The sequence below is a fragment of the Homo sapiens genome, chromosome 7 (genome assembly GCF_000001405.40).
Source record: "Homo sapiens chromosome 7, GRCh38.p14 Primary Assembly".
Classification (NCBI taxonomy): Eukaryota; Metazoa; Chordata; class Mammalia; order Primates; family Hominidae; genus Homo; species Homo sapiens.
In genome coordinates this window covers 93,209,556-93,237,191 of record NC_000007.14, presented here as the reverse complement: position 1 = coordinate 93,237,191, position 27,636 = coordinate 93,209,556, and the positions used below count along the sequence as shown (strand labels likewise).

Below are 27,636 nucleotides of genomic sequence, written 5' to 3'. Positions count from 1 at the left end.
GAGGTCAGGAGATGGAGACTATCCTGGCTAACACAGTGAAACCCCGTCTCTACTAAAAATACAAAAAAAAAAAATTAGCCGGGCGTGGTGGCGGGCGTCTGTAGTCCCAGCTACTTGAGAGGCTGAGGCAGGCGAATGGCATGAACCCGGGAGGCGGAGCTTGCAGTGAGCCGAGATCGCTCCACTGCACTCCAGCCTGGGCGACAGAGTGAGACTGTCTCGAAAAAAAAAAAAAAAAAAAAAAAAAAAAAAAAGAAGTAAAAGAGGTCATGTATGTGAGAAGCCAAAAATACTGTCTCATATATCTCAAGCATTCTGTGATGATTAACCATAATTCTTAATATTTTTATTATGACAGAAATGCTTTCCTTTTATCAAAACAGAAATGAAGAATTACATAAATGTCTCAAAGCACATCTGACATTCAACTGTACTTTAGAATTACAGATTTTTAACACTTTATCAGTTTTATAAACTTCTACTAACAAATGAAGTCATTCTTATTTTATCTTCATCTCTCTAAAGCATGAAGTCATGGTTTTAACTACAGTTCTCTGCCTTTATTAACACTTTGATGCTATCATTAACCACTATTTGATTTTCTTTTGTATTTGATGTTTGTGTTGATAATTCCCCAGTTTAGACATATAGAAAATTCAGCATAAATTAACACTCGCCTCTTCATTTACCCAAATCAGATTAACACTTCAGACTACTTCAGTTATGTCTACATTAATCCTCATTTTCCATTTACGAAACCAGCAACTATGTCTTATCCATCCAAAGAAGCATCTGTGATGATTTGTGTTTCCTTCTCCTTTCGGCAAAACTCAAGAGTGTTTACACCCAGTCCCTAATTTCTCTCCCCCTATTTTCTCCTGAACCCACTCTAATCAGGCTTTCCTCCCCACAACTTCATGAAAACTGCTGTAGTTGGGGCACCAAGGACCTCCACGCTGCTCAATCCAAAAGCACATTTCTCATTCTCACTCTCACCTTACTTGACCAATCTGCAGCATTTAACACAGCTAATCACTCCTTACTCTTTTAAATTCTTTACTTGGCTTCAAGGCAGTCTTCTTGGTTGTTCTCTTCATCCCACATTCATGCAACAAATATTTATTGAGCATCTGCTATATTCCAGGTGCCATTCAGGAAGCTAAAGACTTCTTACCTCACAAGCTGCATGTTCTCATTCTGCTTTCCTAGATCCACCACTTCCCCCTGAGTTTTTAACACTGGATTCTCAAAAGCTCCAACCTTAGATTCTTTGTATATCTACACTCATTCCACTGGTGATCTTAACCAGTTTATATGCAATCTACATGTTTGTAACTCCCAGAGTTTCAGCTATACCCTGGATTCGCCCCATAAATTCAGATTCATCTGGCCAACTGCCTGCTGTATCTCTCCAGTTGAATATTTAAGAGGCTTTCAAATTAACAAGTCCAAAAACCATGTCCCTTCCCTCAATCTGTTCCTCCCTCAGTTTTATCCATCCGAGGAAATGGCAATTACATTCTTCCAATTGCTAGGGCCAAACTATTTTGAGTCATCCTTGATGCTTCTCTTTCCCTCACAGCCCAAACCCAATCTGTCAGGAAATTCTGTCACCTCTACATTTACAGCATATTCACAGTCTGACCTCTTTCAACACTTCCACCACTAGGGTGGAAGGCTTACACCCACCCTCTCACCTGGATTACCACAGTAGCCTCATCATTCACCTCCCCTGGTTTTGCTCTTTTCCGCTCTTCAATCTGTTCTTAAAACATGGGTCCAAATGGTCTGTCTGAAGTGTTATGTCCAATTATATCATTCCTCTATTTGCCATTTCACTCAGAATGAAAGCCATGACCTTGCTATTACCTATAAGGTACTACATGATCTAGCTTCCTGCCTTCAGTCATCTAACCTCATCCTAACCTCATCTCCCACTACTCTTCTCCTCACTCACTTCACCCACACAGGCCACTTGCAATTTCTCAAACAAGCTCCTGCCTCAGGACCTCTGCATTTGCCTTTCCTTCCACTGGAAATGCTCCTTCCCAAATATCTACCTCACAGAGTTCACTTCCTCACCCCCTTCAGGTTTTTTTATATTACCTTCTCTGTGAGGCCTTCCGTGGCCATCCTATCTAAAATTATAAGTGACCTCAAATCACCAACAATTCCCAGGACTTTCTATCCTCTTTTCCTCTACAGTGTTTATCACCGTGTCTGCCTTAACACTTGTCTATTTTTTTTTTTTTACTTAGAATAGTACCTGGCACAAATTGCTCAATAAACATTTGTTGAATGGACTGAAAGAACAGAGGTGAGCATGATGGAGAAAGATGAAGAACAGATCTCATCTAAATAAAGAGAGCTAACAAAGCCTTCCTTCCTCCCATTATTTTGCAAACAAAGATCCCAGGACAGCTGAAATGTCCCAAAGCTTAAATTTCACAGACCTTAATTTCCTATCTCTCCATATTAACTCAATATATATTATTAGCACATTCTATAGGTTCAAAAAAAGAAATACTTTCATGTATACTTACTTGTAATCCTATTAAATTTAACCCAATAATAAACTGTACTAATTCAAACCCTCAATGTAAATAGCAGGCACACTAATTTCATACCTCATAGATTCAGGAACTGTGCATCAGTATCAAATATGTGAAAGTCAAGCCATAACATATATAATTAGGATAACTTTAAATATGTATGCAAAACTCCTAATTTTACCTCACTTTGTACACAGTATGGTTCCAGCTTTTTGTATGTGTTCTTTAATGTATTTTTTTCCATTTCAATTAAACACAGGTTTGACCTGCTGAAATTCAATAAGCAACTGACTAAGGCTTAAGTGTTACCATTTTCAGCACAATTGCATTACATTTAGGAGACATACACTTATCACTGCTATCTGAAATTTTTTTCTCTCCTCAGTTTTACAAAATGAGGTCAAAAAAACTAAACCAACCACAGCTACCATACAATTATGACAACGTTAACTACACTGAACTGTATGGCAGGCAACAAACTTGAGACAGCATCAAACAGCTGATGCACAAAAGTCCAAATTCAGCATTCCAAAGGCAGTTTAGAGGTATTAGTGATATAAAGTACAAAAGTATATATTGATTTAAAAATCAAACAGGTACCGAAGTCAGCATGAACTTATCTATTGCTTGAATTACTGCAACAGCCTGCTTCCAATTTTCCTGCTTTCCCACCATCAACATAGCCAATGTAACTAACGGTCTCTGCGTTCAAGCACTTCCTTGATAATGCCCAGGAACTCCGTTAACGCCTTAAACTCTTTAACTTCATTATATCATGTAAACACCACTATCAGGCTAACTCCATAAGGCACACATTATTCCTATTTTAAAGATGTGGAAATAGATGCTTAAAAACGTTATGTAACTTGCCGAAAGTCACACAGCTGCCACAGGATACAGCAGGACCCAAACTCATCGTCAAGTAAGAAGTAGTAGGACGCACAACACCAGTACTCAACACATGTGAGGAATTAACAAATGTTACTAGCCACTTACTTAAATATTTTTATTATTCACAGAACATTTTGATTATATTTTCATAACATTAACAAAATGCTCTGACATAACTAAAATAATCATGTAAGGGTCATTTGTGCATTGTGCAAGAGAAATACACAATTTGTATCCTGTTTATATATCTCTCAAATTGTGAATTCTCAAATAAGAATGTGGAATTTGAGTTATTTTTGTAATCAACAAGAAAAAAACTCACAAATATACCTTTCACTAAACGATTACCTTCCACATTCTCCAAACTTCTAAAAGCCATGTTGATTTAAAACTCTAATCTTAACTATCTTTCATATTAAAATAATAAAATGACCAATTCTAGTGAAATATTAAAGCTGAAGTAAATAAAGGCAGCTAAAACAAAGTCATAATCAATAAGTACATAAAAGAAAATTTCTGCACTTCTTAAATGAAGCTGAGGCATTATTACGAGGTCCCTAACATTTATGAGACAGGTTACAAAATAGCCAAAGCTCTTATTCATGAATTTCCATTCTGGGGAAAAAAAAGAAAAGATCAGTATTTTGCCATGACAAAAATAAATTTTTTAAAGCAGAATTTCACAAAGAGTTTTCACATATATTAGCTTATCGATGACCCTCATAACAGAACTGTGAAGTAAAATGAACAAAAATAATTATTTTCACATCCAGAAACGTAAGCTACAAAGTTTGGGGACTTGCCCAAAATCCAAAAGCTACTAATTCTGTCTTCAAATCATCCGTTTTCAGTCTTTCCAGGTCACCTCTACTGCACAGACCACACCACCCTACCCAGGCTATCAGCTCGCATATGACAGACAGCCTGGATGCGGAAGACCTTGCAAGGAAGCTCGGGCTGTTCTGGAAAGACGGCAAAAAGAGGAGGAGGGGAGACAAAGATACCCTGATTCCTTCAATGACTTATTTTTAAACGAATATTTCTGGGAGGCTGGTACCCGCTGGAGCAGTGCTCCAACCCAGGCGGCCCAGGTGAGTTTTCTAGGGTATGCCCCGGCTTCCCAGTCCCCCTGACACCTGCCACCACCCATAACTTAGATCCCCGCCCGCCACTGGTTGGGGACAGAACATCTCGGCTCCTCTCACTTCCGAGATGAAGGAAGCCTTTGCTTCAGCCGCCGCGACTTACCTGTCGGGTCATGAGAGATTTGATTTTTTGCATATCGAAATCCTGAGGAGGGTACCCTGCCTCAAAGAGCTAACAAATCACACCGAGCCACTACACAGCTGGCCCTGACACTAGGAAGCCATAGTGGGTGGTCACGTGGAGGAGCCGACCCAGGGTATCCTGTCTTTCCCTGGGCCTGCTGGGAACTGTAGTCTTCTGGACGCCGGCGGTAGCAACGATGAACTAAAGTGGCCAACCCAGGGACTACATCTCCCAGCAAGCAAAAGAGCGGGTGCTTCAGTTAAGCCGGTAAATATTACTGCTCAGAGCGACCACTGCGATCGCCGGTCTTACAAAGGTGCTTGCACTAGGCAGTAGCTACTCTTCGGCGAGACGGAAACCTAAGTCACAGGTGACTAGGCGTTGAGCGAAAGATCAAACTCAGAGGAGACAATATATAAGCCAGATTGACGCGATGTCCCCTAGGAGTGTGAGGGAGGAAACCTCACCTGGTCTAGAGGGGCGGGGTGGGAGAACGAGAGACTGACGCGAAGGAGAAGGAACTCAAGAAAGGGCTGTCACTGAGGGGTAACCTGAGAACTCGAGACTACCCCGGGCGCGCTGGGTTTGGCCTGAGGAAAGGTGTGCTCTAGGTTGCCCAATAGGCGGCCCTCCAGGTTTAGGGCTGTTCTACCTCAGTCTTGGTATCCCCTGCAAAAGCTCTAAAATCGAAGGATTTTGACGCCCGCCTATTATTTTACCTCCGTACTCTAAAGCAGTGATGACGGGAAATACGACAATAACGAGTATACCTGTCACTTTAAAGTCCTCTTTTCAACTTTTGGCAGTTTAGTTAAATTGGGGAAAGGAACAGAAGTGTCTTTGGGGACACAATTTTAAAAGGACTTTACAATTATGAGAATATGAGAAGAAGAAGAAAAAGCAGCCCTAAAGCTAACAATGATAGCTAACACTTATCGAAAGCCGAGTACCTGTCAGGAACTGCTAATAGCTTTAAATATATGATTTCATTTATCCACACAAGAATCCTGTGGGTTCCCATTTTAAAGATGACGAAGCAGGTATGGCGAAATTAAGGAACTTGCCTAAGATTACTGCAGATGTGCAAGTAGAAACTGAAGGATTAATCGGTCATCAGATGTGTTAAGATTTTCATGTATTGTGCTGAAGAAAGTTCTAAAGCATGGCACCAATTTTTTTAAGTTTATTTTATTATAATGTTAACTTCTAAAAGTATGACACAGACCCATAATTTCAAAAATATTTCTTAGAATAAAAAAAGTTCAAGTGTGTCAACGTAATAAAAAATACTAGGTAAACAATAGTATGGGTGGTAGTCAGATATGGCAAAACTAATAAAGGTGATTTGCAAATGACTGAAGTTTGGGGGACACTAACAGAGGTTATTTCTGATTCTGAAATTCTATTTTCTCACCCCTTAGAGCCTCGTTTTATTAATTTTTACAAATGAGGTTGTAATATTTTAATATTTTATATAGGGCTTTGTAAGGATAAGTGAGATGATGTAGGTGAATGAAATGTATAAATTGTAAAGCACTATACAATTATGAGGTATTATTGGTTTTGATTCTGCCCAGTTCTCTACTCCAACAGAACCACCTTGTGCATACTTGTATCATCACTGCGTTCAGCAATTCCTTTGAAATTATATGTTTACCTATATGCTTCTCTGACTCTGTTATTTCTAACCCCTTCAAGAAATTCTGGTCACATTTAGGGCAAGTCTAGTTTAGTTTATTCTTTACCTTCTCTAATCTTAATTGTCAGACTGTTCTTTGTGTGTGAAAATCTGCAATATTTAGAAGTCCCTGAAAGCATCAAAAGAAACAAAAACTGCCAGCCATATTAGCCTATAAAATAAAACCCAAGTCAATAAACATTTCTTGATTGTTGCGCTCAAGGCAACACTAAAATAAGCACTTTGATTAATAATCTATGGTTGTGGTCACAAGGAGTTCACAACTGGGTTTAAAAGCATATCTTAGGGGTGATCTGAGTTCAGTAGATCTCAAACCTGACTGTTCAGATTCACCTGAGGTGTGTGCTGTTATTATTGTTGTTTTCTTTGGGGATGTTTGTTTGTTTAAAATCTTCAGTGATTCTTAAAGGCAGTCCAGCTCTAGCATGTCAAATCCATGCTGTAAAGATGAGAAAACGTATCTGTATAAGGGTTCGAGACCACATATTTCATGAGAGCTTGATCTAGGACTAGAACCCAGATTCAACCCCGGAATTTTCTCCCTCACATACTCAAATACACAAAGTTAAAGATGATCCCCCCAAAAAGTTTTTTTTATCTAATATGTGTATTTCTATTGGCCAAATTCAGAAAAATGAGTGTTATCCCTATCTATTCGACACTGAAAACGCAAGAAAGTATTGAAACTTTGTTTTACTCCAAAACTCTACATTTTAGTTTATTTCCTACAAACTGGAGAAATGGATAAAAATGGATACAGTCTTCTAAATGTTTTAAGGCTATAACTATAATATTGAAAGCTTGTAAAGTAAATCAGCGCTGGTGTCTAAATAAACTATATTTTCTAATTCAGCATACCTTAACACTATATGAAATAATTGAACCTTACGTTATTCATTTCTATCTGTCTACGCTCAAAAAAACAAAAAACTTGGCATCCTAACAAACACTTTTTAAAAGGTTGGACATGCTGCTATTTCCTTTCCAATTTTCAAAAAGGTATTTATTTTTAAGATTTATTCAGGACTTTCACATTTACCTGAGAGCTGTTGTTAGTGATAGTCCAGTGCAAAATAATGGAAAGTTTAGATGGTCTGCCACCAAATCCTGGGGAAGGTTGGCTGGATACCAATTCCTTGGTAAAGGAGTGCAGAGCCAAGAGTTAAGTAAATTGATCTGATTCAGAACAATAGGATTAGTAGTAAAGTAGGATAAGGGCATATTACTAATGGCCCAAAACAGGAGGAATGTCTGGAAGCTTAAATAAAAGCTGAGATCCTGGTTTGATTAGAAAGATAAAATTTCTTACCACTCCACAAATACCAAAGCAGTGGAGAGATGCAGCCCCTCCAAGATGATATGACTACACTTCTTGAGCAGGCCATAACAGAAAACAGAACACTTGCCAAAGGTAAAGTAGTGACCTAAAGAGGTGCCCAGGAAGAAGACATTACTGCTTAGTATTTAGCAGCCATATAAGATAGATCAAGGCTTCCACGAGGCAGCTTTGTAGACTTTACAGAAGTGAACACTAGCACAGGCATAGGCATATGTGATAGCCTCCTCTGGCAGCTAACTCTCCCTGTAAACTGGAGAGAATCCACTAATTACAACAATAAGAAACATTTCTTTCCCCAGTTCTTATTCCCCACTGTTCTGCATCTACATTGACCTTGGCATTTCACCACCTCTCCTTAATTGTTTCTGCCACTGCAAAACATGCGTGTGCTAGCTACTTGTGATTAAAAATGTGGATGTTTGAAATGCATGCAGCAGACATTTACTGTATGAAGTAATACCAGTCTGCAATTTAAATAAACTAGATTGTAAACTGTGTAGTGTGATTTGAGAGGTAATAAAAATCCCTGCCCCCAACAAACATACACACACATACACACACACACACACACACACACCCTCCTGCACAGGAGTATATGTGTCCATATCCCATTGTAAATGCACGTGGACACACACACGCATACTCTATCCCAGTGGCTCCTTACATTGCTTGCAGTTTAATCACCGTGGATATAGATTGTTTTAGGTTAATCAGCCTTCTCATTTTAAATGCAAATATAACTAAGATTGGTAAACAGTAACACTACAGGCCCTTTTTTCCTGACTGGAATGATAACAGCAGAACTTCCCAGTGGGTTACAGGTGTGATGTGAGATATGGATGGTAGGAAAATTCTTATAATTATAAAACCTTCAAACTATTTTTAAGAATCATGTAAAAATTAACAATTGTTGAAGTTAAGCTTGAGCACTCTTTTTCTCACTTCCTGTGTAAACATGTTGAAATCAGAAGTTACTCCAGCAGGTAAGAGTTTATATCTACAGTTTACCACTAGAGGGCGCTTTGTCATGATTATCCCAGTAGCCCTTTCCCTAGATGTGCCGTATTATATTTCAATATGTGCCATGAAATAAAAAGATTACAAGTAAGATTCATATGGCATTTATTTTTTAATGTAGCATCTACTATCACCTTATGTCATGAAACAGGGAATATTTTCAAATACAACAAAGAAAATCTCAGAATAAAAAACTCCTTTATATTGAGTATATTTAACACTAGGGAAAAACACAGTACATTGTCTTTATTTCTCTTTTTGCCAGGGACCCAACAAACTTCATTATAATCCAGCACTAGATTGAAAAACACTGAAAACAGCTAATTTGATAACGGCAATTGGAGATTAATATCAATCTAAAAGATGTTGGGGGAACCTATGTGATATCTGTAGAACTTCCATATTACTTTCCAAATTGTATTTTGTGCAATCCAATATTAAAATTTATTTGTATTTCTTACGCATCAACTGAGAATCGTAAGACGGGCCAAGGAGCACTTAGAGTTTTGTTTTCTGGAGAAACAACTTAACAAAAATACCAGTTAAGCATTATGCTACGTGCCCAACATCCATGAATGAATAAGATTATTCTCTGTATTCGAGAGCTCAGAGGGAAAATAAACATCCAATAAAATAAAGATTAAGGAGATAAGTGCTGCAATAGATGTGTGTACCAGATTTAGAGACAGTGCAGAGAAAGTTGTGGCATTGTTATTATTTTGCAGGGAGGTGGGGGAAGCATGAGGAGCTCTTGCCATTTTTCTGAAGCATGGAGGGATCTGAAAGTGACTGATCTCTGAAGAGGACTTCGTTTTCCCAATAGTCACTTACTTTCTTTGCTTATAGAAGTCCTTCTAGAAGAGTTCAGAGCCCTAATGCAAAGAGTGTTTCCAAACTTGGATTCCAAAGTTACTATCATTCCTTTTTTACTTTAATTATGCTTGAGGTATAGTCTTCCTTCCCCTCTTATCATTGAACTTCTTCAGTGGGCCTTTACTGTTAAAACTGATGCATGCAAGGAATTTTCCTTGATTTGATGATTTGATGCAGATTTGGATATATCCTTAACATTTTATATAACAAGGCTAGAACCAGAGCCTTCTTGCAAATAGGGGTTAACTAATAACTTAGTAAATTAAGCGGACATGCTTAGACTATCTGCTGCCATGACAATGGAGAGACCAGGTTGAAAACCTGTAACCTGGACACTGCAGTAGAGGTAAGATCTTTTCTAGATCATTGGTTCACTTCCTCTATGCATCAGCTGTGAAAATGTGGCCTCAGATACTATCTCCTGGCATGCACTTTTCATTATAATTATGCATGGTCCATGCCTCAGTCCCAGTTGGAAACACACCTGTGATTTGCTTTTAAAAATAAGATGAATTCAAAGATTAAATGAAATCAGTCATTGTAATAGGAAACACTGCATAGAAAAAATACGTTTTAAATATATTCTGGATCTCTCTTTTGATTCATTGGTAGAATTTTTACATGTTAGTGACTTCATGAAGATTTATAACTGTTTAGCAGATACATGAGCTACTTCAATTTTCATATAATTTTTTTTAATTTTAAAATAATAATGGCATAGTTCTGCATGATAGAAAACCAGCTTTTGTTTTTAAGGAAATCTCACAATATTCTTTCATTATGAAAACATGCCATTTTTCAGTAAAGTCACGCAAAAGGATGTTTTCCTTCATGTGATTTTTTAATAACTAAGTATAATTTATGAAATATATAGACAATTACTGGTAGTTGCTAAGAAACTCTTCTGAAAGCCATAAGCCTGTATTCTTGCTAAGCACATAACAGGTGTTCCCACTCCCTGTGTCCTTTGTATACACATTCATTCTGTATTCAAATCACAGAAGCAAGAGGCAAGATAGGGTCTGTTACCTCACTGCTAATTTCCCTAGCAAATAAACCAGCAGCTGCTGGTCCAAGTTACCACTGAGAACAGGGCACTGCATGCATGGGACAGGATGCTTTCATGGAGCCCTTCGGTGACACACTTGGGGTCTTTCAGTGCAAAATATACCTCCTTCTCTTCGGTAAGGCCCTGTGTGAATTGTGTTTTAGCTGTTTGTTAGGTTTTTTTTTTTTAATTGTGGACATAAGGTAAATATTTGCTTTAGGCTGTAGATGCATTCAGATAATTGAAGAGCAGGTCAGAACCTTTTAACAATAACACACTGTTACAGCAAAGAAGCAGGAACATTTAAGAGAAATGAGTTTCAATAAATAGATTGTTATTGTTTTCTTGGAACAACAATTATTGTCATAGCACTCATTAAGATAATTCAGATATTTTTAAAAGATAATGAATTTCTTCTTTTAGAGTTTACATATAGGTTCAATAGTCTTTAATGCATTTATTTCAGCAAATATTCTAATAGGCCATGAAATTGTGACCACTTAGAGTGAAACTACAAATAATTTACGAAAATTGTTTTCTTTTTAATTAAAGATATTGTTGCAAACTGTTTACTGCTTCGTTTTAAGTTATCTGTCTCATCTTATGAAATATGGAAGAAAGGTAAGATTCCAAACTAACAAAAAAATTTCCTACACAAAAGGGAGAACGTATTTGAAAAGATTGTTACTCCAAAATGCCTTTAGCTTTTCTCTTTGCCCAATGGCTAGTCCTATTAAGAATTTTTTTCTACCTTAATATTTTCCCTCATTCTCCTCTTTATCTTTTGAGTTTAAAGGAGTCTCTTTCCAGCATTCCAACTGCTGTCTGTCAACATTATTTTCACCAGATGTTCTCATTTCCATTCTTCCTATTTATCAGTTTTAAAAGTCAAATCAATTTCTTGTTTTGTTTATATTCAACAGATAGGAGTTCAATTAAGGCTACATTTTTTAAAAATTAAGAACAGCTTAGCAAAATAAGCAATTTAACTTTTAGGCTTCTTCAGCTATTTAGAGCTTTACTTTCACTCCTATATTTTGTTAAAGTTTGCATTGTAAATGTTATTATTCAAATTCATACCTACTGTTGTACCTATCTCACACATTTGAAATGTACAGTTTGTAAATTTTTTTAAGTCTTTGAGTTTCCCAGAGTTGTGATTGTTCCAGTTATCACAGTATTTATGTTATCAAATTTAAGCCTATAATAGATTTTTGTTTTCTAAAATTTTTTGAAAAAGTAAATAATTATTATAACTGTCACTACCTTTGTGCATTTGTCTTCCTTTTGAAAGTATCCTGGGTCATCATCCCACTTATTTTTATATTTAAAACAGTAGGACTACTATCATTTTATAAGTGTTGTTTTTGAAACTGGCGTTAAGAAGAACTTAGAGACAATTTAGTTAAGGAATTCAACTAAAATAAAACAAATGTACATTAGGAAAATAGCATGTTCATAAATAGCTAAAGCAGTTTTTATACCTTAAGACCTTCTCTCTTCTGCAAATTTGCTTTTCTCCATAGGCAGTGTGTTGTAAAGACCACAGATGACTTGGCAATCTTTGCTTTTAGGAATATTGAAGTTTTGTTTGCTTCTTCTTTTTAAAAAATTTTTAAAAATTTGAAGCCTAAAATGTACAGTTTGTACAGTTTATTCAAAACACATCATAATTTCTATTTTCTCTAAAGATGCAAGATTTTATTTTCAGTCAACAATACTTGTGTTATGCTTGTTAATACCACACATGATAACAGGGAAGTAAATGCCAGCTATTTTGAGCTACAGCAGAGGTCACTTTGTGAAATCTGATGTTTATATTCAATACAATGAAACCGGTCTAGGGAGTCCTTTGTTGCTGGAATATAGATAAATTCTACAGTAGGACTTCAAGTGTACCTTAACACTGGATACTTTTTTATAGTGCTATTGTCATACAATGTAAGAGGGTCTGTAAAGGAGGGATCATTGCTGCAATTTTGTATGTCAGATTATGATTAGTATTATAAATGTTTCTCCAGATTTGTGTAATGCCTTATATGCAAAAAGTCAAGATTTTTTTAACAGAACTATAATTTATAAGAGTTTTTGTTTGTTATACTCAGAAAGTAATAGTGAATATAATAATAAAATCGAATTTAAATTTCCGTTTAAGTCCAAATATTTGGACTACTAAAAATAAATTTAAATTTCATCAATTTTTATATTATTTATTATTTTTGTTTTTGTATTTTTTCAAATAGAGACAGAGGTCTCGCTGTGTTGCCCAAGCTGGTCTTAAACTCCTGGGCTCAAGCAATCTGCCACCTCAGTCCCCTAAAGTGCCTGGGATTACAGGCATTAGCCACCACAACCAACCTTTTTATATTATTTATTTTCTTGAAGTTTATCTGTTCATGCAGAGGATGATTTTCTAAAATCAATAGGTTTAGTCCTTTGGGTTTTCTCATACAACTAGAAAAGAGCACTTGAAAATTTCTCAAAATGAAGCTAAGTTTTCTCACATTAGTAAACTACTGTGTTTGACAGCATGAATTCATCACATCTGTAGTGGGTGACACATCAATGATAAGAGAGTATGTGTTCCTAGAATGTGGAGGAAGCATTCAATTATCTGTTTATTCCCAAATTTCACTACAAGCAAAGATTGTATCATATTGATAGGTTCATGTCCAATGAAGAGATTTTACGTGGCTGAGATAAGATACTGTATAAAGAAAATTTCATTCCCTGCTGACATTCTTATAACTTGCTACCTATAATTTATCTGATAAAAAATTGTATAGGCAATCTCTAAGCAAATAGTTACTGTAACAGCTGTGCTATTTCTCACTGTCACACAAACATTTGAAAAAGCATACATATTTGAAAAAAACTTTTCATTTAATAAGAAAGCACTGAACCTATTCAGAGATATTGATGGCAATATATTATTTAAGGTATTATTACATGATGCAGTCTAAAATAGACCCCAAAACTAATTTTCCCCTAAATAATGATCACAAACGCTATATTAAATATCTTTTTCTACTAATGTAGTGTTATTTTTTCTCAGAGCTTCAATATTTGTATTGTATTTAATATTTCATTAAATAAAATTTTCCTCCTATAATTTTAGTCATGGACTCTCTAACCAGTCTTTTCATATTTAAGATTCAACATTCTGGGTCAAGATCCAAAAGTCATCAACATTTCTATTCCAGCAATATTGTCACCCCATAGTAATATAGTGCCTCCCAACCATTTCCAGAATATTAAATAAATCTCAATCTTTTCAAATATAACTACAAAGGAAGTCAATTACAAAAAAAGCAGAGAAGGACTTTTGCAATGGCTTTCCCAAATGACAAGCACAAAATGGGTCAGAATCCATTCAGACCTTCTCAGCCTAATGGTGGTTTCTAGGCTGAGTTGTGAAATGTCCTAAGTGAACCAACACATCCATGACAAAGCTGCTCCCTATTAGCAGCCATGCAGCTTTTTCCAGTGCATTCCCAAGGCAATTATACAGACTTCCATCATTCCCCTTGATTTCTTTGTAAAAAACACAGAATTGCTGTTTTATTAAAGGATATCCAAGGATTGACAACTTAATATATGAACCAAAAACTGGGACTCAATTCTTCAAAATTATTTAGGCCCTCTCTCAATTTGGGTCCTCTCAAAACTCTCTGGGCCCTTCACCTTCAAATATAGGTAGCTGCTACCCTTAGAAAAGCACCTCAGGTTGTCAATAACATAAAATTAAGAGAGTCGAGAAAGGCCTTACACCTTATCTGATATTACCTCCTATTCACACATGAGAAAACTGAGTCTGAAAATTAAAATGACTTATTTAAGGTCACATAACTGACCAATCACCATTTTACCCCAAGTATGTGTCCTTTACTAGGACTTCATATTTCAGTAGATCTTTAACTTTATTAAAGTAACAAGCACAGTAATCTTCAAGTTAAGAGAATAGGTGCTTGAAAATCATTATTTTAGAGCTATTTGCAAGTGATAAATTTAAGACTCAATGGCGGACATAGAACATGGGAGTCCAAGATCAGGAGTGAGCCATGAAACACTTGTAAATATTTTCATATTTACACAAGTAAAAAAAAAGGAGGGAGCAATACACTTAATACAGTGAAAGGTCCAATTTACATATCTTAAGTTAGTAATAACAGGTACTAAGCCTATTTTTTTTTGTTGTCGCTTACCAGGAACTTGTCAGGAACTGCCTATCTTCAACTTCAATGAAAGACATATAAATGCATTTTGTTTTGTACAGAAAACAGATAGACAAAGAGGAATCTTTTCCTGTGCTGATCTCCCATCCAAAGGCCCAATGTCTTACTAAACCTATGACTTTAAGAGTTTCACCCCGACTGTCAGCCTCTGCTTCACATATCTTAGACATCACTAATTTTGAGACATAGATTTCTCTCTCCCATCTTTCTTTCTCTCTCCTACTATTTCCTTGCGAAAACCACTACTTCTTTTCTGCAGTCCACTTTATCTCCTCTTTAGAATTCCCAGCACCCAGTTTTCTCTTTTTCTAATCACTCAAATTAGGAAAAATTCCAGATTTAATAGTCTTACACTTGGCAGAAAAGAATACAGAAGGGAATTCTCATCTTTGTAACTGCTTTGTTATGGACCAATCACCAAAGTGTGCAAGTAGGTCCATTATCAGAAGAAAAAAAAATTCTTAGAAGTTAATCACAAAAACACACAGAGGCCAATGAGACAATAAGACATGTCTTTATGTTTCTTTTACAGTCATCTGCTTTTCAGTCCATATGGTAAGTTTCAGTTGCAAGTCTAGGAGTCTCTTCTCCCTCTAACTAACTATCTTCCTCTTTGGTGTTTTCTCCTCTTGGATTCTTTCCTCTAACTTCTCTGCCAACCCCAGAGTCTCACTCTCTACTAATAGCTAGCCAAAGGCCCAAACTGTGGGAATCTTTGCTTCTACCTCCACTCTGGGAAGGAAGGAGATAAATTTACTGTTGGTAGAACTGGATTCCTCATAGGAACAGGCCTACATCTTTGAGTTTTTCCAAGGAAATAATCACAAAAGGCAAACAGATCTTTCTACCTTTCCCTTTTTAAAATTGATGGCCTTTCATGACATGACTTGGATGAAGCTTGAGGACTCCCTTTCTAGTAGAATGAAATCAAAAAAATGTAGAAAAAAATGAAAAAGTGGAAGCGATCAAAGAGGATGAACATTTTGTACTTGAGAAATTTAAAATTGTAAAATGCTTCTATTTATATCTAATTTCCATCTCTTCTCACCTGCTTAAGGATTTTATTCCACTTTCACCCATCTCTATTCTGCCTCATCAACATTTCCCTTTCCAGTGAAACATTCCCAATAGCAAAAAACTCTCTTTATTTCACATTTTTGATCCTTCTCCAGCTTCTGTCCCATCTCTCTGGTCCTCTTCACAGCAAAACTTCCCTAAAGTGTTGTCTATACTCATTGTCTACAGTTTCTTTTCATTGTCTATTTTTTCTCTCATCATTCAAAATATTCCACATTTAAATTTCTCTCACTCTCTCCTCTATTACGTCAAATGTTCCTATGATGTAGGTATCATATTGCCCCTTTTAATATGAGGATTTTGAAGCAAAGAGCTTCCAGCAACATGGTAACCTGAGCTAAGGAAGACTCTCTTCCCCCTGCAAATACATAGAAATGCTAAATAAAATAAAATAATATATCATGGCTTAAGGTAAGACGGGGAAATCTCCAGTTGCCAGAAACTGGGAAGAAACATGAAGATACAGCAGTGAATGCATGGGTCCACAAATCCCCAGCACTGCCCAGGGCTATCCACTGGGCAGAGCTCCATGCCCCAAGGCCCTCTCAGGCCCCTCATTCTCTCTTAAATTCACATTAATCAGGATTTCACAACATTGCCTCTTAGATGTCTAATGGGCATCTCAAAATGAACGCTCCCAAAACTGAATCCTCGTCTTCCCCACAAAAACTATTCTCCCCACAGTCTTCCCCATGATTAATTTATTTACTGCAATTCCTTTCTTCCAGTTGGTCCGAGTCAAGAAGCTTGGCATCCTCTTTGTTTCTGACACCCTCAAAGTGTCACCAAATCCTTTTGTCACAATCAGCCTTTTTCCAAAACGTCTTTTACTAACACCCTAGTTTCCAGCACAGTTGTCTCTGGCCTATTACATTGCAGTCACCTCCTAACTAAGTGTTCTCCCTGTTCCTGCTCTAGCCCTATTCCTGTGTATTCTCACAGCAGCTAGACTAGGTCTAATAAAACATTTAAAAAAATAGCCCTTTTCTGTTCATGAAACTCCTATTGCATCCCCATCTTAGAGTAAAATTGCCAGAGTTTTTCCCGTGATCCTAAGGTCCTGCCAGTCTGTCACAGCCACCTCACTGACCTCATATCTTATCATGCTCCTCCTCCTCCACTGTGCTCCATCTGTACCTGCCTCTTGCTGTTTCTCAAATACACCAACCAGATGCCTGTTCTGGGTGGAAATAACTGGTCATGACTGATAATGGTTTAATACCACTCTCCTTGGGATATTTGCATTTGGCAAGCATTTGGCTAAAAGGAAGAACTTCCAATAATGGAATATTCAGTCATTTCAGACAGCTTTAAGGGAAACTGTTGGGAGGAAATAACCTCTAGTATTTCTCAAATCACATAGTTAGATTATGATATGATATGACAGACATTAATATAGTCATAATTCCAAATGTTTTAATGGTTTCATTGGACTTTAGAAGTAGTAAACTTTCTTAGTTCTCCTTTTCCCATTATTCCGTAGCAATCGTAGAAAATAACTTCTGCTTTTCCTTTTTATCTTGTGCAACCAGCACGGTCTTTGGGTGGAGTTTTTTAAGTGCAGAAGGTTTCAGGGACAAATATTTACCTCTATATGTAACCAGTACTAGAATAGTCAGTACCTAGAAGCCACTCTTCTTTGAAAAGGATTATCACCTGATCAGGTTCTCTCTGCATTTGCCCCTTTAGATTGTGAAATGTGGCTCAAGGTCTTCACAACTTTCCTTTCCTTTGCAACAGGTGCTTGCTCGGGGCTGAAGGTGACAGTGCCATCACACACTGTCCATGGCGTCAGAGGTCAGGCCCTCTACCTACCCGTCCACTATGGCTTCCACACTCCAGCATCAGACATCCAGATCATATGGCTATTTGAGAGACCCCACACAATGCCCAAATACTTACTGGGCTCTGTGAATAAGTCTGTGGTTCCTGACTTGGAATACCAACACAAGTTCACCATGATGCCACCCAATGCATCTCTGCTTATCAACCCACTGCAGTTCCCTGATGAAGGCAATTACATCGTGAAGGTCAACATTCAGGGAAATGGAACTCTATCTGCCAGTCAGAAGATACAAGTCACGGTTGATGGTGAGTCCCCTGTGAGTGTACGAGGGCAGCAGTCTAGCATGGTAGTTAGCAAAGGCTCAGGAGACTAAACTACTTCGGCTTTAGATCTTGGCTTCACAACTTTGCACAAATCAATTAATCCTCAAAGCCTCAATATCTCATGGCACTAATGACATTATCTACCTCACAAGGCTTTCTGAAGATTAAATAAGACATGCACATAAGAGATATACCTAGTGCAATAGGTAATCAAGCACTAAGTATAACTTATTGTTTGTTTGCCTGGGAACTATCAAGTATAATGTTGCTAATTTGATGAGATGGAGAAAATCTTATTTTCTCAACAATAGACTGTACCCTGGGAAGAGTCCTATTTTTGTCATGAAGATTTTTGTTTCAGTACACTGTTTGGAAGAGGATGAGACTTGTGCAAGAATGGTACTTAAGGACAATGGACATGCCTGGAAATGTCCTCTGAGGAGGAGTGGGGTCAGCTAACTTTCAGACACTTATTTTCCTTATTGAAATAAGTGACATATGTAAAATATACTATGTCCAAGCCCAACTTCTGATTTTTGATCTCTACACCTGTTTATTTGACAGTATTCCCCATTTTAATAAATACAAATTCCATTCTATCAATTGCTCTAGCCAAAACCTTGTAGTCACCGTTGACCTCCTCTTTTTCTCACATCCCACATCCAGTCCACGGGAAAGCCTATTGGCTTTACCTTGAAAATATAGACAAAATCCAACCACTTACCACCCCCAGTACTGCCCCACTCAATACCACAATCAGCCGCGGCCTGAACTGTCCTAATAGCTTTGCCACCTACTCTCCCTGCTTCTATTCCTGCCTCCTTCAGCTTAAAATCCTCCCATTGCTTCTATCTCACTCAGAGTAAAAGTCAAATTATTAACAATCTGCAATGCCCCACATACCCAGCGCCTATCTGACCCCATTTTCCTATCTGCATCCCCCTCACTCACTCGGTTCTGGCCATGCTGGCCTTCATGCTTTTCCTGGAACGGGCCAAAACACACTCCTCCTCAGGGCCTTTGTACTTGCTGTTTGCTCTACCTAGACAGCTTTTCTCCAAGATACTAGCATGCTCCCCTCGTTTCCTTTAGGTCTTGGCTCAAATGTCACTTTATCTGTGAAGCCTTTACTGACCACCCTATATAAAATGTAATCTCACTTCTCCAACACACACACACACACACACACACACACACACACACACAGACACACATGCTCAGAGAAAATAGAAAGAGAGAGAGAGAGAGTCACTCTCTATCTCCAATTCTGCTTCTCTCTTTTTCATAGCTTTTATTACTACCTGGGCATATTATAGATTTTTATTTGTTTATTCTTTCTCTTCCCTACCTAGAATATGAGGTCCCTAGGAGCAGGGACTTTGTATTATTTGCTGCTTTGTCCTCAGTGCTTAAAACCTTTGCTGACCACTAGTAGATTCAGCAACTATCTGTGGAATAAATGAGTGGCCACAGAGGAGACTGGGGAGGCTTCAGAGGAGTAAAGATGCAGAAGGTAGAAGCAAATGCCTAGAGAGCAACTGTGGGGAAAAAGAAAAGAGAGATCTAAAGGGAATTTCCATGAAGATTTCCTATATGGTGTCCTGTCTCCCTCCTAATAGAATCCTTTCTTGTGAATCAGTAGTAAAGTTGCATCTGCTTAGGAAAATGCAACCAAAAACTTAGTAAAGCCTGAATAGGGTTTTAGGCCCCATGCCAAAATTCTTCTCAGAAGAAAAACTTCTTCATCTGAGTTATACTGTTTTAAGCAAATGTATGATCACAATACCAGTGACTATTCTAATGATTGGTTCTTCTCATACAAAACTGTTGATGTGTTACCTATTTATCTCATACCACTTACAGTTCCACACACAGGTACATTTGAAATATAAGCTTTTTCTGCATATTAAATGTACACAATTTATTTTTCTTTTAAAATCATAATATCATAAACATAAAGCCTTTCCCAGTCTTTTGTTCTTGCCAGGGAAGATGAAGGATTAAATTAAATAGATGAGCCAGTTGATTACACCCTTCTTGAAAAGTGCTATAAGCTTCAGAATTACTCGACTCCCCCATAAGTTACCTTTCGACTTCCTTTCTCTTATCTTTCACTTTCTTCTATCTTCTCTGGGATGGAGAATTTGGTCAGTTTGTGCCCTAATGCACATTTTCCAGTGTAGAAAAATATGAGCACAAGTCAAAATAAATCTACCTGAGGAAGATGCATTGACCCTAATTAAAAGCTTGAAAGGAAATTGAAGTCTAAACATTGGACACAATCATCTCTCACTTATGTATCATCCTATTCTCTCTGTGTCATGTAGTCATACATAGAAGGAGATTATTAAATACACCTCTCTCCAAAATGCAGAAGAGAAACATTGCCAGATGTGAAGCCCTCTTCATTTTGCTACTGACTGCTGTGTAACTCTGGGCAAGCCACTGTTTTTATCGATTAAGTCAAGAACTTCAATGATTAAAGAAAATTGCCAGAAATGGTTGCGGATTCTTATATAATTCTACCATGCTTATATAATCCATCAACTTTACAGTTAAAATTCAGAGAGCAAATATTTACTCATTTTTGGAAATTTGCTTTGACAAATATTATTAAGAGCCTACTGTGTGGCAGATGATGAAATAAGACTATTTTCCTATGACTTGACTTTCCAACAGGAATTTCTATCGGATTTGTATTTTTTTCTCTAATTTGATAAAAGCCCAAGAATATATTTTATCCTATTTTCAGACTGAGTCAGTGTTGAAATAAATGTAGGTTTTGGTTTGTTAAAGTGCCTAACATAATGTTACAACACAAATGCAAAGCAATTAAAGTTTATAATTGCTTCATGACATACATAGAAAGAATAGTTTTACATATGTGATTCACTAAAATTATCCCTCAGTTTCCCAAAAGTATAGTATATATGTTAGCTGTATATTTTGCAGATGATAGAAATTTGAGTTCACCACATCCATCCCAACCAGCTGCTATTGGGACATTAGGACAAATCAATAGAGGGGAATAACCATAAAAATTTTGCCTGTGAAAGTGTACCTTTATGGTGTTGGTGAAAGCACAATGAACAGGAAATAAGGAAGCTGACATTCTCAGCCACCTATAAAGTAAAGGGCTTCATTAGACCATCCTTGAAAAGTAAGTTCTGGAATTTGATTATCTCTGACTATAAATGATATTCTCATATTTTGTCATTTTGCATTTTCCCTGGCTTTTTATTCTCTTCTCTTCTTTAGTTATTACCTGAGCTGTCTACATTTACAGTGTAAAATGCTGGAATAATTTCTCCAGGAGTTCATATTTGAAAGACCTCATAGGGTTTTATTATATTTCCATGAAAAGAAAAAATCATTCATATCTCTCTTAATATTGCAGATCCTGTCACAAAGCCAGTGGTGCAGATTCATCCTCCCTCTGGGGCTGTGGAGTATGTGGGGAACATGACCCTGACATGCCATGTGGAAGGGGGCACTCGGCTAGCTTACCAATGGCTAAAAAATGGGAGACCTGTCCACACCAGCTCCACCTACTCCTTTTCTCCCCAAAACAATACCCTTCATATTGCTCCAGTAACCAAGGAAGACATTGGGAATTACAGCTGCCTGGTGAGGAACCCTGTCAGTGAAATGGAAAGTGATATCATTATGCCCATCATATATTGTAAGTTTATTTTTTTTTAACTCATGAGTTGTTTTTTGTTGTTTTCTGAGAATATCTCCCAGGATAGTCACAGAGAATATAAGTACCAGATGTCATTTGGCTTTTTACCATTATTGTAGTTCAATAGTTCTAATCACACCTCCTAGGCACTGTCTTGTATGAAATATGTCTGCTAGCACAATCCTATTTCTTAAAGATCAAGTTGAAATACTGGCCAGGGGCCACTCAGGTTGTATTTCGTGATTCAGTCTATTGTGCGACCTCATTTCCAGCGGAAAGCAAGATTCTCAATTTCAAGAACCCAGAACAATGCAGAGGCTGCAATGAAAAAAACTGAAAGAATATCTTGAGAACTTTTTTCCTCTCCAAATATTACCATTCCTGAATTTAACATACTTTATTCTTCTCTTGTAAAATATTTTCTTTACATCAATTCTTTCTTCTAGCTCTTTATCTGTATGTCTTCCCATCCCTACCTGCCTGTCTTTAAACTCTAGCCATAGGTTTAAATGAAAAAGTCCTGGGGAAATTTACTTAAGCAATTATAGGCAAATGCAAATATCATTTTTGACATATACTTTTGTTTTGCTATACAGTTCATATTAATCTGGCAAAATGAAAATAACATCTTTCTTTCAACATGTGCAAGTCTATGCACCAATCTCATTATTATCACAGAATATGCTGTGATACACAGTGTGGAAAATATAAAAATGGGAGAGAAAACCATAATCAAACCTGCAAATGTTAAATATTATGCTTTAGGCTCCTAAGCCTTCTTTCCTTCACGATGTTATTTGAAAGAATGAGAATACCCCAATTTGAGTAAGTTCACACTTTACAGAATCTATCTTTTGCTGACAGACTGAACTTTCTTCTTTACATTATTTTAAACATTACCTATGAAAATCTCATAGAGAAACACCTATCACATGCAAAGACTAACGACAGATAATAGAAAGAAGAACATTTAGACAATTTACAAATGTGGCTTCCATTTACACATTGTAAAGATGAATTATCTACATGGCTTAAGAAAGATTTTGACTCATTAATTGGTAATTGTGAACATTGCATTACTAATTTTTGTCTTCACTATTTTTACTTTCAAATGCAGAATTCTTCACTTGGTCAACATCTCATCTTATTGATATTCATTCATTCACTTACTTATTCATTTATGCACTCATTCATTTATAGATTATTTGATTTTAAAAAATGAAACATCAGGGTCTTGTTTGTGCTAAACAATTACTACCTACCATATAACATGTACAAACACAACCCAGACCCATTAATTTAATAATTTTTCTTGCTATCACTATTTTAGCCCTGTTTTTGTTCTGGTTGGTTGGTTTTGTTGCTTTTGAGTAACAAAAATTAAATAAAATATATACTGTAATCTGAAGATTGGTTGTATATCCTATCTGTGGATGTGGCATCCAAATGTTTACAATCTTTATCATTCCCTGCAAGCTGGGAATATGTGCCTTGGTTGGTGTTATTCACACTTCTCTTTCTTCATCTGGTTGCCTTCTTCTTGCCTCATGACATCATCATCCTTTCCAGAAAGGTTTACCTGCCTCCACTTATCTCACCTCCTCAGTGTCACTAACAGGTTCATTGTGCTCCTTCAGCATCCTAGGCACTCTCATTCCGGGTCCTCACTGCTTTATATTTTCCTTGACTCTTGTGAACACCCCAAACCCAAACCAGAGTTCTGCATTCTTCATCTTTGTATCCATAGGGCAATAGCTGACAGAGATTAAGAAATCAATAAAGTTTCTTGAACTTAACTAAAATGGAACAGATTATCTTTCTTCATATCCCTTTTAGATTCCAGTGTTACTTGACGATGCTGTAAAAAGGCTAAATTCTCATTATAAGGTGACAGCTTCTTCATTATAGTGCTTTGGCACTTTTTTTTCCTGACCTTTAGCAAAATCAAGTATTCTGTTTTCTAAAGGCACTGTTTCTGTGAAGGGTTTTTTCATGAAAGTAGGAACTATTTTTTATTTTGGCAGAAAAAGTATAATAAAATCTATTAAGATTGACTATATACTTATGAGGTTGTGATGTCATAATCTGGTATTGGCCTTGGTGGAATACAATGTCAAGCCAATAACTCAGACAAGTATCTACTTGCAGTTCATGATATGCCTTCAAGCTCCAGTTGTAAATAATAACCCAGTAACCACTGCATTTTGTGTGCAACATATGGCAATGCTGCAGTGGAGAGCTCTAAGTGATAAAAATTAAAGGGGAAAAAAGGTCATTCACAGTAAATACTTACCATCTGCTCCCAAGCAGGGCGGCAAACAGCATCATGATGTAAATTTAGGCACTGTTCCCACACAGCCATAAATTGTTAAAGAGAACAGATGATATGTGATTTTACAAGTCATTTAGTAAACAGCCATCCCCAAGGCAAAGGGTTCATTTCTATTGGGAGCTCTCTGCCAAAGGCAAGAAAGTAAACCATAATCCAAAGTCAAAATGGAATTATCCTTCTGCTTTCATCTTCAGTATCAGAGGTCACTCTAGTTGAATCACTCCAAATATCTCCAATTGGATTGCCCATTCACTCGAATAATGTACTAGGCTGCCCCTCCAAGTAGAGGGATGGTCAGCCTGGAGTTCTAATGATAAAGGAAATAACATCATAGTAGAGTCAGAAGAAAGTATATTGTAAGCAACATGTAGAGTGTGAGATGTAGTTAAATTTGTGTGCATGTGTGATAAAGAGAGAGAGAAAAAGATGCATTAAAGTAAGACTTGAAAATTATCCACTGAAATGTGGATATTGGTTCTCTGAGCAATAAAATTACAAATGACTTTCTTTTCATCTTTGTGCTTCTCTGAATTTTAGGATTTTCTGCAAAAAAAAAACCGTGCATTTCTTATATAAACAGATAAACTATGTTACTTTTTAAGAAACATATCAGAAGCAAGGAACTGAAATGCTTCAAAGTGTTAGGTTCCAAGAGTCGGAAGAGGTGTTGAGGTGGGGGCAAGGAAGTTTGAGGGATGTGAGGCTGCTTCTGAAGAGCCAAATATAGCATATAAATAAAACAGACAGAAGAGAAAAAATTATGCCAATCATGAAACCCAATAAATGGGGAAGTAACGAAATCAAAATACACATGATTAAGGAAGATAAGATAATCAGATTACTTTCTTTAAAGGTATTTTTATTTTAAACCAGAATGAACTTATTAAATTAGGTAATTGACCTTATTTACTAGCCTTGGCTCTAAATGACTATGGGCTTCCTCTACAAATTAAACCTACCCTCTGAAATTGAAATTGAAGAATTACTGCTTGTGAGAATACTCCATTATGCTGCAGGGTCCTAAGGCAACTCCAAATGAGGAGTTCCCCAAAAAGTTTTGAGCAATGTCAGCATGCTTGAAAAGGAGTAACACTCATTTTTATGTGTATTAAATTACTAGACAGTTTGTTTTTATAGCCCCATTCTCTATACCCTGAAAACCAGGGGGAAGACGAAGACCTAAATTGAGTGGCTGTATTTTCGTGACCACATTTTTCTTCTTTATCAAGTCTGCCTTGCTCTACTCTCAGAAAGACCCTCAGACTTTAGATTTTGTACATAGACTCAGGTCTCTTGCTCTCCCAAACTACGGTAAATTCCTCCTGCTGGTTTCCTTCGGTGTGCACCATAACTGCCCGCTGCTTGGTGATCTTTCCTTCCCTAATGTTCTATCAATGCTGACAACATGAAGGGTCCCTTCTGAACCACAGGGCCTGAGATAATAGCCATACATAGTATGTGGTCAACGTCTCAGATGTCTTCACTATGCCTAGACTCATACCATGTGCAAAGTAATCTCAATATTGATTTCGGTTGAGTGAGCAAAAACAAATTTTTGTTCCCATTACACTACTTACTGTTTAGTGGAATTCAGAACAAAAGAGTTCCATTTGACAGCACACTGTTCTAAACCTTTTATCACAGTGGTTTCACCTGAGACTGTGTCACAGCCTGAAATGAGAGAACAGGCTTCTTATACAGTAACAGGAAAGGGGCAGAAATTTCTCCTTATTTTAATCCTGTACCTTCAGTTCCTGATTACTTTAAATTGAAAGTACTAACTTCTGTTTGCTTTCTGAAAGCAGGCTTATCTCATGCAGGTTTATTAATAAAAACCCATATGGTTCCTTCACATTTCTCCATATGTCTTTTTCTCTAGAAAGAAAACATAGATTAGTCTGTTTTCTAGCTGAAGATAATCTATTGTTTTGTATATTCGTTTTCTGTTATAGCTTAGAAAATTTGTCTCCTCTGTGGCAGATTGGTCAGAAAATGCTGACATGATAGAGAACCACTCTGGGAATCTGCAAACTTGGGATTGGTTTGCCAATATCCAAAATGGTTTTACTAGGTTGGTGCAAAAGTAATCACTGTTTTTGCCTTTACTTTTAATGGCATGGCAAGAATCCTGGTGTTTCAAAGGGGTTAGAAAGAATCTTGGCAATCAGTCCTCTAACCTGTCTTTTTATATTAAAAGGTGAGGAAAATGAGACCCAAAAAATTCAAATGACTTCTAAAGAATGCCTAGCTAGTGATTGAAAAAATTAGTTACCCTAATGTTTAGTTACTACATTCTATTTTTCTATATGTTGAGAGATAAATAGCTTATACTTTTAAAAAAATCAGGACCTTTAAGATTAGGCCATTACTGAGCAAACCATCCATACCCATATCCAGTTTGTAAATTCCCTAAGAATATGAATGTCTCATACCTCTATCTCCCGTATACTAAATATATTATCTCATACTTAGCATCATCTCTCAAATAAATATTTATTACTTGATTGGATGATTACAGAATTAATATTAATATATAATTAGTAATTGATTGTAGAACTAGTACTACAGTTAGACAACAACAAACTATTATGATATAGAAAGTTATACCACTTATACTTTATTTCTTTTTAGAGAAGTAATGTGAACGATTAAGTGCATATATTTTAGAAACCCAGCTCTGCTATTTAATAGCTATATGACCATGGGCAAATAAATTGTTTAAATATCTCTTTCCTCATCTTAAAATTAGAATAATAACATCTACCTCATGGTGGTTGCTCTAAATATTAAATGTTGTTATCTGCATAAGCACTTAAAGTGCCTTCTCATGGCAGATATCCAATAAATATTGGTAATGATCAGCTGAAAGGTGAACATAAGCACTAAAACTCAAAGATTTTTAGACTATAAGCCAGGATTTAGACTGAATGAGAAAACCTATCTAGGAGAAGAATTTTTTAAAATTTTCCTTATTCTCTGAAGAAAGCAATGGGAAAAGTGTCTTCACCTACTGGCAACCTAACACCATAGAAATGGTACAATGCTACAGGAGTACTGCAATGTGGAAAAAAACACCAGGGGCTAAGTAGTTAATGATAAAGAAGATGTAACTTTTTTTTTCAAATGGAATCCTAATCTTAGCTGGGGTGTGGGTGGGAGGATTTTAAAAATTCTTTAACTGTTAAAATGTTGTAAAAATACCAAACACCCCTATGTCTATTTGCACAGTGTCCCATGTGAAACAATGTCTTTTATAAATATTTACATGGCCTACCCTAGCACTGAGAAGAAAAATAGATAATACTGAAAGTATGGTTGTTAAAGAGAAAATAGTGGCCATAATCTCTTGTAAAAATATTTTCAAGTACAATGACTATTTCAGAAATATTAATGTGTAGAAGCTAAAAAGTTGATCTAATAGACATAGAGAGTAGAATAGTAGTTACTAGAGATGGGGAAGAGTGGGGTGGTGGGGGGTAGCCAAAAGTTGGTTAATAGACACAAAAATAGTTA

The 27,636-nt window shown here is 36.7% G+C and overlaps 2 protein-coding genes across 11 annotated transcripts in view, besides 4 other annotated features; one reads left to right on the top strand and one right to left on the bottom strand.

Annotated features, from left to right (window-relative positions):
- Positions 1 to 4,826, bottom strand: part of VPS50 (VPS50 subunit of EARP/GARPII complex) — a 128,758-nt gene extending 123,932 nt beyond the window's left edge. For all 5 annotated transcript variants that reach the window (NM_001257998.2, NM_017667.4, XM_011516396.4 and 2 more), the window contains exon 1: positions 4,692 to 4,826. Coding sequence is in view for 4 of the 5 variants with exons in the window: in NM_017667.4 (NP_060137.2) it covers positions 4,692 to 4,724 (33 nt within the window). In the remaining variant the exon portion in view is untranslated. The remainder of the gene's footprint in view (positions 1 to 4,691) is intronic.
- Positions 4,306 to 4,365: an enhancer, noted in NCBI's record as "active region_26284". NCBI's record gives its function as "activates an Ori minimal core promoter by ATAC-STARR-seq in GM12878 lymphoblastoid cells {active_cell/tissue: GM12878}" and the evidence as "EXISTENCE:reporter gene assay evidence [ECO:0000049][PMID:35858748]".
- Positions 4,606 to 4,655: an enhancer, noted in NCBI's record as "active region_26283". NCBI's record gives its function as "activates an Ori minimal core promoter by ATAC-STARR-seq in GM12878 lymphoblastoid cells {active_cell/tissue: GM12878}" and the evidence as "EXISTENCE:reporter gene assay evidence [ECO:0000049][PMID:35858748]".
- Positions 4,746 to 4,915: an enhancer, noted in NCBI's record as "active region_26282". NCBI's record gives its function as "activates an Ori minimal core promoter by ATAC-STARR-seq in GM12878 lymphoblastoid cells {active_cell/tissue: GM12878}" and the evidence as "EXISTENCE:reporter gene assay evidence [ECO:0000049][PMID:35858748]".
- The window catches only part of HEPACAM2 (HEPACAM family member 2), a 43,752-nt gene continuing 21,022 nt past the window's right edge, over positions 4,907 to 27,636 (top strand). For 2 of the 6 annotated variants that reach the window (NM_001288810.3, NM_198151.4), the window contains exons 1-2: positions 17,621 to 18,091; positions 21,507 to 21,791. In NM_001288810.3, the coding sequence (NP_001275739.1) occupies positions 17,698 to 18,091; positions 21,507 to 21,791 (679 nt within the window). In that variant the 5' untranslated portion in view covers positions 17,621 to 17,697. The other 4 variants (NM_001288804.3, XM_011516001.3, NM_001346642.2 and 1 more) reach the window with 4 other exon arrangements.
- Positions 5,056 to 5,125: an enhancer, noted in NCBI's record as "active region_26281". NCBI's record gives its function as "activates an Ori minimal core promoter by ATAC-STARR-seq in GM12878 lymphoblastoid cells {active_cell/tissue: GM12878}" and the evidence as "EXISTENCE:reporter gene assay evidence [ECO:0000049][PMID:35858748]".